The sequence below is a fragment of the Homo sapiens genome, chromosome 11, assembly GCF_000001405.40.
Source record: "Homo sapiens chromosome 11, GRCh38.p14 Primary Assembly".
Taxonomy (NCBI): Eukaryota; Metazoa; Chordata; class Mammalia; order Primates; family Hominidae; genus Homo; species Homo sapiens.
In genome coordinates, this window is record NC_000011.10 from 3,870,051 (window position 1) to 3,883,076 (window position 13,026).

The window sequence follows — 13,026 nt, forward strand, 5'->3', positions numbered from 1 at the left end:
GAACTTATTTGAAGTGCTGGGCAAGGGGCTACACTCCACAGGACTTCAGGAACCAAATAATTCTTTCTATGCTTATTTCACATTGCTACATTTTACAAATGAGTTTTCTGGGGTCCAAAGAAATGAAATGATTTGCCTAAAGTCATACAGTAACTCCATGGTGGAATCTAAGTCTGAGAACCCAAGTCTCTTTGCTTTTTAGCTATTAAACTTCCTAACAAAGCTGAGCCTTGACTCTAGGAAAATCAGAGACAGTCTTGGAGACAGACAAACCTGACTTCAATTCCAGATCTTGCCAGTTTTCTGTTTGTAAGATCGTAACAAGATTGCTTTTCCTCTCTGAGCCTCATATTCCCTTTTGTCCACATTTGCAAAAAAGGGAATATTAATTTTTACCTCATGGAGGCATTGGAAGTAAATATGCTTTCTATAATACTCTTTTTACTTTTTTTTGGTTTTGTTCTGAGACAGGGTCTCATTCTGTCGCCCACACTGGAGTGCAGTGGCACCATCACAGCCCACTGCAGCCTCCACCTCCCAGGCTCAGGCGATCCTCCCATCTCGGCCCAACAAGTAGCTGGTACTACAGGTGTGTACCACCATGCCTGGCTAGTTTTTATATTTTTTGTAGAGATGGGGGTCTCACCATGTTGCCCAGGCTGGTCTGGAACTCCTGAGCTCAAGCAATCCACCCACCTCAGCCTCCCAAAGTGCTGGGATTATAGGCATCAGCCACTGTGCCTGGCTACATCTCCGATTTTCTAGTGGGATATGGAGTGGCTGACAGAACACCGAGTGACCATATCCTATCAGCTACTCTTTTTTTTTTTTTTTTTTTTTTGAGATGAAGTCTTGCTCTGTCGCCAGGCTGGAGTGCAGTGGTGCGATCTCGGCTCACTGCAACCTCTGCCTCCTGGGTTCAAGCGATTCTCCCACCTCAGCCTCCCAAGTAGCTGGGATTACAGGCGCCTGCCACCACTCCCAACTAATTTTTGTATTTTTAGTAGAGACGGGGTTTCACCATGTTAGCTAGGATGGTATCTCTTGACCTCATGATCTGCTTGCTTCGGCCTCCCAAAGTGTTGGGATTACAGGCGTGAGCCACGACGCCCGGCCTCCTATCAGCTACTCCTGACCAGAGAGAAGATGATTAATATCCCCTTCCCTCAGGGTCTTCTGCCAACCTTCATGTGGGCTCAAAGTGGAGGCAAAGTGATAGCTGAATTTAGGCTATGCTTGGTGAGAACTTCCTCTAGACTAGGGTAAGTCCTGGCTTGGGACAGAGGAACCAGGGTGGACTTGCTGATCAGAGTGCTTGGAGTCCTTATCTGGTCGTCTCTTTGGTTTAGTACACAAGTTCCTAAGTTCTTCTCAGAGGGGAAGTCAGCTGCTCTAGTAGGGGTATTGTTAGGTAGTAGGGCTGTGGTTATGTCAGCTCTGTGTCATGGGGGCAGGCCTGAAACTAGCTGTTTTGTCCAATATCTAGTCACATACTCTGAGTGAGTGGAGGAGGAATACAAGATTTTCTAATTTTAAAAAACAACTGGTTACTATTTTGTAGCTTCTGTCTTAATGCCTTTTCTTTCCATTGTTTTCTTGAAACTTTTTTCATTTTCTTCCCTCTTCCTAGGTTGGTTCTCTTGAGTGTTCACAGCTTTCTTTAGGGAAAATCTGGTTTAATAAAAAGACCATGAGACTAAGAATTAGGTAGGCTTAGTTTAGCCTGGGTTCTGTTACTCTTGACTTTTCTGGGCTTAAATTTCCTCATCCCAGGTATTGTGGGGATAACAGAATCTATCTTACAAGGTTGATGTGTGCAGATCTTATGAAATAATGTGATAGGCATTTATTCATACACAAATTTGAGTAATTTATCATTACTGTATTGGTTTTTCTCCTCTGAATTGTCTGATGATCTGTTCTTTGCAATTCTTTGGTTTATCCCTCTCTCTTTAGTACCCTGTTCTCCTAGGTTCTCACTCTTCCTTATAATCTTGTTTTCTAACTCTCGTTTTTTTTTGAAACAGAGTCTACCTCTGTCGCCCAGGCTGAAGCACAGTGGTGTGATCTCGGCCCATTGCAACCTCCGCCTCCTGGGTTCAAGCGATTCCTGTACCTCAGCCTCCCAAGTAGCTGGGACTATAGGCGTGTGCCACCACGCCCGGCTAAGTTTTGTATTTTTAGTAGAGACAGGGTTTCACCATGTTGGCCAGGCTCATGTTGAACTCCTGACCTCAGGTGATCTGCCCGCCTTGGCCTCCCAAAGTGCTGGGATTACAGACGTGATCCACTGCACCCGGCCTTGTTTTCTAACTCTTAATGACAACAGGAAAAGTGTGGCTACACTGGCATTACACCAGTTGGAAGGGAGTGGGTCTGAGCTCTTGGGGAAATGTAAAAGTTCATTGGCTTTTGAGTACAATATGTTGTCATTAACTTGAACAAGTCTCTTTGCCTCCATTTTCTTTTTTTCTTTTTTTTTTTTTTTTGAGATGGAGTCTCACTCTGTTGCCCAGGCTGGAGTGCAGTGGCGCAATCTCGGCTCACTGCAAGCTCCGGCTCCCGGGTTCATGCCATTCTCCTGCCTCAGCCTCCCGAGTAGCTGGGACTATAGGCGCCCACCACCACGCCCGGCTAATTTTTTGTATTTTTAGTAGAGACAGTGTTTCACTGTGTTAGCCAGGATGGTCTCTATCTCCTGACCTCATGATCCTCCCACCTCAGCCTCTCAAAGTGCTAGGATTACAGGCGTGAGCCACCGTGTCTGGCTCTTTACCTCCATTTTCATATGTGCCATCTGGTTTACCATTATAGCTCAATTCTTTTGATTCTCAAAGTCACTTCCATTTCTGAAAACTCCCCTTTAATGCACAAGTATTACTGTGTTTATGTTACTCCCACTTTTTTTTTTTTTTTGAGACAGAATCTCACTGTGTTGCCCAGGCAGGAGTGCAGTGGCATGATCATAGTTCACTGTAACCTCCAACTCCTGGGCGTAAATGATCCTCCTACCTCAGCCTTCCAAGCTGGGACTATACGCAGGTGCCACCACACTCCACTGATTTTTAAAAATTAAAAAACTTGGCCGGGTGCGGTGGCTCACGTCTGTAATCCCGGCACTTTGGGAGGCCAAGGCGGGTGGATCACCTGAGGTAGGGAGTTCGAGAGCAGCCTGACCAACATGGAGAAACCCCGTCTTTACTAAAAATACAAAAAAATTAGCTGAGCGTGGTGGCGCATGTCTGTAATCCCAGCTACTTGGGAGGCTGAGGCAGGAGAATCGCTTGAACCCGGGAGGCGTAGGTTGCAGTGAGCCGAGATTGCGCCATTGCACTCCAGCCTGGGCAACAAGAGCAAAGCTCCATTTCAAAAAAAAAAAAAAAAAAATTAAAAACTTTTTTTTTTTTGTGGAGATGGATTTGCCCAGGCTGTTCTTGAACTCTTGGCCTGAAGCGATCCTCGCACCTCGGCCTCCCAAAGTGCTAGGATTACAGGTGTGAGCTACTGTGTCTGGCCATGTGTTTACCTCTGAACTGAGGACCAAAACTAGCTTTTTAGTATGGATTAGGTTCAGTATAGCCACTGGGGAATGGATTGCATTCTGGAGTGAGGGGTGGAGCCTGGCAAGAGGGCAGTTCTGTTAGCTCAGTTTACCTACGCAGGAAGGGTGTTAGGGCCTCCAGGCATACTTATGCTGCTTCTGTTATAGCTGACACCTAACTGCTCCTCCTGAGCTGAGCGTATGCTTGTACTCTTAGCCAGAAGTCAGAGCTTGGTGAGGCCTGATTCCCCAAAGAATTCAGTGATAAAAATTAGGGCACTTGAGCATATCTAATTGGCTGAACTGTGTGAAGGGCAGAGGCTTTCCCTGGGGGCTCCTTTTAATCTCTGTGGTTATAGTCTTTTAAGGTTGGACTAATTAAAATGTGTTGACAGTTGGACTCACTACTTTCCTTGCACTAGGTCCTGCTCCGGCCTCCTAGAGTACCAGAAGTTGGCACAGAGCTATTTTTCCTGGGGAGCTGAGGAGTGGGTTTCCATTTCCTAATCTACTAAATCTACAGTGATGTAATGTTTGTCCAAAATGGACTGCCAAACATTTTATGGTGGGGAGAAATTTAGGCTGGGACTTGGATGTGGCCTGGGTTTCTGCACTTCTTAAGGTGTCTTTTCAGGTTGATTGTCTGTTCTAGTAGCCCTCAAATGGCCTTGCTCTGTGAGCTGGCAAGTCATTTCTATTGCCCTGGAGTATCCTTCTCTGGTATGTGTTCCTCTTCTAACCAGAAAAAGGGATAAGGAAAAGATATTTAAGTCCCACCATTTGCCAGATCAGGGCTAGTGTTTTACACACCTATCTTTTGAGGTATGCTTCATAATGCCCATTTTGCAGGTGAAGAAATAGATTCAGAAAAGGAAAATAATTTGCTTGATTGTCATTACAGGCTGTAAGCAACTAAATCAGTATTCAAATCCAGGTCTCTCCCTAGCTTCAGGTTACTTTCCTAAGGTAGCACAAATGATTTCATGTCCTCTTATCCTTTTAAGCCGCTAAGTTCTCATATCCAGAGAGTCTTCTTCGGTTCCTTTAGCCAGAATGACTTCTTGCCCTGCTTTTTCAGACTACTCTGCCTCTCGCTAATCTGTCTGATATTTAAGTCACTGAGGCATGAATCTACCTCCCTCATCTGACTATTCCCGCTCCTGCAAGATTTGGTACTCAGGGTGTATTTGTTAAAGAACAGAATGAAGTTATAGTGCTGGAATTTCAGGTGTTATGATAGACTGGCAAGGGTAAGGGTTTTGGGCAAAGCCTTGGCTAGTTTTTCAAATAAGGCCCCCTGTGTCTTTCTGATTTGCCCAGAATGTGCTGTTATTTTCCTGGACATCTGGCTTTAGAGTTTGTATCTTTTTTTTTTTTTAATTTTTATTTTCTCCTCCTCTTCCTCTTCTTTTATTGTTTGTTTGTTTGTTTGTGTTTTTCTTGTAGTTGGTTTGCAACCTACAGAGCTAGGCTTAATGCTCCCTGGACTGGAGTGATATGACAAACCCTCAGCTTCGTCTTGGTTGCTGGAATATGCCTGTTGACCATGGTGCTTGGATTTTGTTTGTTTGGTTGGTTTTTTGCAAAGAGCATGCCAAGATACTAACCTTGCATTTGGGGCTTATACTTTCTGCAACCTCTGCCTACCAGTGTATGTCACTTCACAGGATAAAGGCTTTCCTGGCAAAGGCAAACACATGTAAAGGCATCCCTATAAGTTGAATTATTTTTCTCACTGACTTGAAAACAATTGAAAAACTATCTCAGACCTTTTTCTGTGCATATAGTGTATACTTCGTGTTTAACATAAAAAGTTAAACTTCAATGGCAAATTGGAACATAACAAAATATAGGCCAGGCACAGTGGCTCATGCTTGTAATCCCAGCACTTTGGGAGGCCGAGGCAGGCAGATCGCTTGAGCTCAGGAGCTTGAGACCAGCCTGGGCAACATGGTGAAACCCTGTCTCTACAAAAAATACAAAAAATTAGCCAGGAGTGGTAGTGTGTGCTTGTAATCCCAGCTACTTGGGGGTAGAGGCAGGAGGATTGCTTGAGCCTGGGAGGCCGAGGCTAAATTGAGCCAAGATCATGCCACTGCACTCCAGCCTGGGTGACAAAGTGAGACCCTGTCTCAAAAAAAAAAAAACCCCTAAAAACAACAACAAAAAAATCAAACCAACAACAAAATATAGTTAAAACGCCTTTAGTGGAAGAACTCATAAAATATTAATAATCAAAATAAATACTGCAATAGGATGAAACATGCATTTTTGCTTTGTATTGTTTTGATAACATAGGCAACCTGAAATAGCTTAGTCAAATATATTGAACTAAATAAGGACGCAACATTCCTTTTGGTTTCTGTGCTATGGAGAATAGATATGAAATGTTCTTAGGAGAAGGGGCAAATAATGCATTCTGGGACTAGGAAGAACTGTGCTGTGGCTCAGTTCCTCTACTCAGTGGTGAAACTAAGCTTTCTGGTTGTCTGTTCCCCTATGTGTTAAAGGGAATAATACCTATCTTGTTTAATTTTATGAGGGTTAAGTAAGATAATGTATGTGAAAGTCTTTTGTAAACTATGAAATACTATTATTGTCATACTTAGTGGGTGGCTGGAGCCAATTTGCTAGCACTGTAAGGAAGCTTTTGGTTTAAGATATGGCTAGACCTAGGTAGGAAGAAGGATGCAAAATTAATGGATAAACAGACCTAGGTAGGAAGAAGGATGCAAAATTAATGGATAAACAGTTGAATGCTGTTTGGGTAGCAGCTGAGAGGAATTCCTGTGAGTTGAGGGAAAGGACTACATTCATTTCTTTTGTTTTTGGGAGACAGGGTCTCACTCTGTTACTCCAGCTAGAGTGCTATGGTATGATCGTGGTTCACTGCAACCTTGAGCTCTTGGGCTCAAGCAATCCTCCTGCTTCAGCCTCCTGATTAGTTGGGACTACAGGCACATGCCACTACACCTGACTGATTTTATTTTTATTTTTTGTAGAGGCAGGGTTTCACTGTGTTGCCCAGGCTGGTCTCGAACTCCTGGGCTCAAGTGATCCTCCTGCCTCCATCTCCCAAAGTGATGGAATTATGGGCCACTGGGTCTGGCCTTCAATACATGTTTATTGAGTCCTGCCTGGTTGAAGATAAAGAAATACTGATATCTACCTACTAAATACATGATGTGGTAAAATATGGAGGCAGTTTGGTTTAGAATGAAAACCCCATAAAGATAGGGTTCTTGTCTGTCTCATGCACTGTTATGTATTCACCAGGAGTAGTGCCTGGCATGTAGTAGGCTCTCAAAAAATATTTGTTGAAAGAAAGTTTACGATTTGGAATCAGACAGACCAGGTTCATATTTGGGTTCTGCCCAGCCCCTTTACTGAGTGCGTTGCTCAGTTTCTTCATTTATAAATAAAATAGGACTAGGATTAGCTGGTTATTGGGAGAGTTGTTTAAAAAAAAGATTAAAACCTTTTCTATAAGGCTTTACAGTAAGCGCTTAAGGAAAGATAGTTTCTTTCATTTCCCCTTGATGGTTTGCAAAGTGTGATGGGAGTGCAGGGGAAAAAGCAGTTAGAGCTACCTGGGGGAGTCTAGACAATGGCTTCACAGGCTTGATCTGTTAGTGTCTTCCTACAGAACAACATTATTATTATTATTATTATTATTTCCTCACAAAAGGAACTCCCTGGGATTAAGCAAGCATCTTGGAATTGGTATGCCTTGCTTCTCTACATTTCCCATGGTCTTCATGGGAGGGCTGGCTCTTGTCTTTCTAGCAAGGTCACATTTACACTGTAGGTTTGTTCAGAGGTTGTTGTTCCAGAAGAAGCAGCTTTCAGTGGAGACTCTGGACTTAGCTGATTTGCATGGGCTTTTGTAGCCAGCCGTCAATCCCCTATCCCCACCCTGCCAAATACCTCAATAATTGTTAGTTATAGCTTTGAAAACGTGTACTCAGCTTGACTTCTGTTCCGGATCAGTTGTAAATTCTCACATAAGGTAGAGCAGAGTGTGTTTGCTTGGGTTAATCAGGTATTTATAAGTTGACCTTTACTAGTGAATACCTAATTTTTCCCTCATGCCTAAGTAACTCTAGCAGGCCGAGGGCCTTGTTCTCAGGCATTCCCAGAACTGTTGGGAGTTGCAGCAGGTTTGCCTGCCCTTGTCATATATGCACAAGGGCCAGTAGGATTTATCTGTCTCCCAGCAAGGGTGCCCAGGACCTCTCCTTTTATCCTATCATTCTAAAGCACTGGGAATACCAGTCTCCTCTCTCTGATCAGCATTTTAGACACTGATGCTTTCTCTTCTAGTTAGTTTCTTGGGAGAATGAGTAAGCAGGGAGGAATTGTTTGGCTTTCAGGTAAAAAGGACTTCTTGCTTGTGAATTGAAGTCACTAGGCGAGAAGTGAGTAAAGAACATGTTCCTGGATAGGAGTGGTCAAGCGTTGGTAAGTTAGACTTGGTTTGGGGTTAAATGGGCCTGGTGCTCTCTAGGAGTGGAATCAGTAAGGGTCCTGGCTGTGTCCTCATTGCCCTCCTTCGGGAGCTGAGCATTGCTGTAGGGGAGATCTCACATATGGTCTGGGGAGAAGGGAAAGGAGGAGGGTTAAGGAACGAAGAGACAGAGGGAAGAAAAGGGAACTTTTGCTGAGCTGTTTCTCTAGGCTAGGTGCTTTACACCAATAATTTTCTTTAATCTTCACAACAACTTTGTGAGGTAGCTATAATTAGTCTTGTTTTACATATGATGAAACTGAGGCCCAGAGAGGTTAAGCAACTTACCCAAGGTCACAAAGCTAGTTAATGATAATAAGTTATTATTTATCATGTGCCTGAAAAGCACATATGAAGTTTCTTTTTTTTTTTGATCCTATGAAAGATAATTATTACTTCTTCAATGCAAATGAGGAAACTGGGAATTAAAGAGCTTTGGTTACTTGTGGAAGGTCACTCATCTGGCAGTGTCAGTGCAGGGATTTGAAACCAGGTCTGTCTCATTACAGAATGTGTTCCCTTGATGTCCATGTTGCTCTGCAAATGGAAGAGCTGGGATTCAAATGCAGAGTCATGAGAGCAGGGCTTATGTCTTACCTATCTTTGTGTCACCATTCCCTATGACAGTGCTTACCATGTTGTTAGTGCCCAATAAATGCTTGCTGTAAAATCTAGCTCTGCCCTCCCCATAGCTCATGTTAGCTGCAGTGGGTTCCTATTGCTAGCTGCGTCCTGCCCCAGCTGCTCGGCTGCCTATCTTCCCCCGACAGTTTGGCCTTATCGTGCCTACCCATTGTGGCCTCCTTGACATCCCAACACACAGCATCTCCTCTAGTACTGTTGCTTTCCTCTTCTTCATACCTCTTTTTTTTTTTGAGACGGAGTCTCGCCCTGTCACCCAGGCTGGAGTGCAGTGGCGTGATCTTGGCTCACTGCAACCTCCGCCTCCCGGGTTCAAGCAATTCTCCTGCCTCAGCCTCCCGAGTAGCTGGGACTACAGGTGCACACCGCCACACCCAGCTAATTTTTGTATTTTTAGTAGAGACGGGGTTTCACCATGTTGGCCAGGCTGGTCTCGAACTCCTGACCTCAGGTGATCCACATGCCTCAGCCTCCCAAAGTGCTGGGATTACAGGAATGAGCCACTGCGTCCAGCGTTTCATACCTCTTTTCCCTAGCTATACATTTTCCTCTGGCTATGGCTTTCCAAAACCCTCCAATCCTGTTCATTCTTTTCTCTGTAGTTTTTCTGACTTATTCCAGGGACTTCCCTTTCTAGATTATAATCTTCTTAGTCTGTACCATATAATTTGTCACCTAATTATCTACTGTTTCACTTTCTGTTGGTTTCGTGGACATTAATCTTCTCCCCAGCCAACTGATGGTAGTCATATTATAATAACTCCCCAGATTGGTTTGTGCTCTGCACTTTACAAATCACTCCACTGTTTAAGACCTGTCTTTTTGCTTATCATGCCCACAGCTGCTCTGTGAGGTGGGACAGGAGGGGATTGTTATCTCCATATTATTGTAAACAAATTCAAAGAAAGCAGGTGACTTCCCAATGTCATATATGTAATTAGGGGCAGAACAGAAACTATATCTCAGGTTTACTAATTTCTGGCTTAGAATTTTATCTGCAGGCTCTTCTACATTTGTTTTTTTCCTTACCATTTCCCCTCTTGCCTTCAAGGGTCACTCAAGGCAGAACATCTACCTTGTGGGTTTTTAGGAGGTTTGGTTGGTGACCCAGTGAATGGTAAAGTAGCCCAGATATCAATCTTAGGTACTTCTCAGTGGCATCAGTGTTCTGGGTTGCTATTGCCGAGAGAATTCTCTTTCTGTGGCTATTAGGATTAATGTTGAACTAAGAAGCATTAGATTATTATGAATGGTCAGAACACACTCTCATGGAGATCCAGGAAGCAGGACAGGATGTGTGGTGCTGGGCACTTTTGTGTTGTGGCAATGGCATGAGTTTGCAAGCAGTCAGGCCAGAGTTTGAAATCTGGCTTTGCTGTTGTTTGCTGGCCTCATGACCCTTAGTAAATCATTAATCTCTCTGAGCCTTAGGGCCACTGAGAGAATGTATTTAAGGGCCACATAATGGCCTGTGAAAACAGTATTTGTTGTTGGTTTTTATTGCCAATACTACTTTAAGTTTAAGGTGCCTGAAGGGCATTAGAAGCCTGCTAGCACCTGTGACCCTTGCAGGTTACTTCTCGTGTCTTGATTTCCAAGCATTAGTGATGACTACCTTGGAAGCTATTGGCTGATAGAGGATGAGCTTGAATGCTGTTCCCAAAGTCTCCCGTCTCCCAAGTTTCCAGTGCCTTCTCAGGGCAATGAAAATAGTTTGTGGACAGCTGGGGGATGGTTTCAGTGTCAAACTTTGGGAGTAAAATCTTTCATGTTTTTCTGAAGAACTTTGGCATTAGAATTGTTGGTTCTGGAAAGTCAAGAACACAGTTGTTATTGAGAGATTTTAGTTATTTCTGAAACCAGATATTGCTCCAAAGCTGTTTGTTAAATACTTCCCTACTCTTCCTAAACCCCTGCCCCTCCCCAAAAGAAAAATAAATCATATTCAGACCATCGTGCGATGGTTATATCTCTGGCCTCCCTGGTCACCCAGCCTCTAGCTCTCTGCTAGCACCACTCCAAATTGCTGCTTCAAAAGAGGTCAGTCAGCCCCTTTCCCTTACTCCTCAACCATGACCTGGTCTGTCTGGAAAGAGGATGAGATACATGGACCAATACATCCTATTTAAAAGGGAGCTTGCTTTCTCACTAGGGACTTTAGACTGCCTGACACACAGGAAATGACTAGAAAATCTGACCAGTGGAGCATAACTCATTGCTAAAATGGCAGGTTTGGACGGCTGCAGGATGGGAGAGCAGGCTTCCTGAAGAGGCAGGAAGGGGCAGCTGGATGGGAAAACAGTGACTTTTGAGTTTTTCCTTTTAGAGTATGGTGACGTAGGCCGTTTATTAAAAAAAAAAAAAAAAAGGAAAATCACATAACATAAAATTAATCATTTTAAAGTGTACAATTCAGTGGGATTTAGTACTATCATAAATGTAGTTCAAAACTATTTCATCAACCCTAAGGAAATCCATACCTGTTAAGCAGTTGTTCCTAATTCCCCCTCTCCCTTTCCCCTGGCAGCCATCAATCTGTGTATCTGTGTTTTGTCTGTATAGATTTACCTATTCTGGATATTTCATATAAATGGAATCATATGATCTATTGATCATATGATTATTTTATTTTATTTATTTATTTTTTCAAGATGGAGTCTCTCTCTGTTGCCCAGGCTGGAGTGCAGTGGCATGATCTCGGCTCACTGCCAGCTCCGCCTCCCGGGTTCATGCCATTCTCCTGCCTGAGCCTCCCGATTAGCTGGGACTACAGGTGCCCGCCACAGCACCCGGCTAATTTTTTTGTATTTTTAGTGGAGATGGGGTTTCACCCTGTTAGCCAGGATGGTCTCCATCTCCTGACCTCATGATCTGCCCATCTCAGCCTCCCAAAGTGCTGGGATTACAGGCGTGAGCCACCGTGCCCGGCCGATTATTTTATTTTTATTTATTTATTTTTTTGAGATGGAATCTCGCTCTGTAGCCCAGGCTGGAGTGCAGTGGTGTGCTTTCTGCTCACTGCAGCCTCCGACTCCTGGGTTGAAGTGATTCTCCTGCCTGTAGCTGGGATTGCAGGCATGTACTACCACACCTGGCTAATTTTTGTATTTTTACTAGAGACGGGGTTCGCCATGTTGGCCAAGCTGGTCTCGAACTCCTGACCTCAGGTGATCCACCTGCCTTAGCCTCCCAAAGTGCTGGGATTACAGATGTGAGCCACGGCGCCCGGCCTTGATCATATGATTATAATGGGATCATATGATGTATTGTGTCTGGCTTCTTTCACTTAGCATAAGGGAAAGTAAGTTTTAGAGGTTCATCTATATTGTAGCATGTATCAGCACTTCATTCCTTTTTTTTTTTTTTTTTTTTTTTTGAGACAGAGTTTCGCTCTTGTTGCCCAGGCTGGAGTGCAATGGTGCGATCTTGGCTCACCGCAACCTCTGTCTCCTGGGTTCAAGCGATTCTCCTACCTCAGCCTCCCGAGTAGCTGGGATTACAGGCGTGCGCCACCACGCCCAGCTAATTTTGCAGTTTTAGTAGAGACGGGGTTTCTCCATGTTGGCCAGGCTGGTCTTGAACTCCCGACCTCAGGTGATTCGCCCACCTCAGCCTCCCAAAGTGCTGGGATTACAGGTGTGAGCCACCATGCCTGGCCACTCCATTCCTTTTTATGGCTGTGTAATATTTCATTGTATGTTTATACAATAATTTGTTTATCTATTCATCCACACGTGGGCAATTTGGGCTGTTTCCACCTTTTGGCTCTTGTGGATAGTGCTGTTAAGAATTTGTGTGCACCGTTTACCTATGTACCAAACCTACACATCCTGCATATGTACCCCGGAACTTAAAATAAAAAGAAAAAAGAATATGTGTGTACATGTACCTGTTTGAGTACCTGTTTCCAGTTCTTTTGGGTACATACCTAGGAGTGGAATTGCTAGGTTATATGGTAATTCTGTTTAGTTTTTGAGGAACCAACAAACTCTTTTTCACAGCAGCTGAACCACTTTTTACTTATACCAGCAATGGACTAAAGTTCTAGTTTCTCTACATCTTCACCAAAGTTTGTTATTTTTTTTATTATAACCATTCTTGTGGATATGAAATAGTGCCTCACTGTGGTTATGAAATAGTACCTCATTGTGGTTTTGACATGCATTTCTCTAATCTCTAATGATATTGATCATCTTTTCATGTACTTGTTGGTTAGTTGTATATCTTCTTTGGAGAAATGTCTAAGTTCTTTGTCTATTTTTTAAAACTAAGTTGTTTGTTTTTTTGTTATTGTAAGAGTTCTTTATATATTCTGGATACTAGACATTTATCTTTT

At 43.5% G+C, this 13,026-nt stretch overlaps 1 protein-coding gene across 22 annotated transcripts in view, besides 2 other annotated features; it reads left to right on the forward strand.

Moving 5' to 3' along the window:
* The window catches only part of STIM1 (stromal interaction molecule 1), a 238,607-nt gene that overhangs the window by 15,447 nt on the left and 210,134 nt on the right, over positions 1 to 13,026 (forward strand). The gene's annotated exons all lie outside the window — the stretch shown is intronic.
* Positions 1,166 to 1,225: an enhancer, noted in NCBI's record as "active region_4316". NCBI's record gives its function as "activates an Ori minimal core promoter by ATAC-STARR-seq in GM12878 lymphoblastoid cells {active_cell/tissue: GM12878}" and the evidence as "EXISTENCE:reporter gene assay evidence [ECO:0000049][PMID:35858748]".
* Positions 1,446 to 1,535: a silencer, noted in NCBI's record as "silent region_3093". NCBI's record gives its function as "represses an Ori minimal core promoter by ATAC-STARR-seq in GM12878 lymphoblastoid cells {active_cell/tissue: GM12878}" and the evidence as "EXISTENCE:reporter gene assay evidence [ECO:0000049][PMID:35858748]".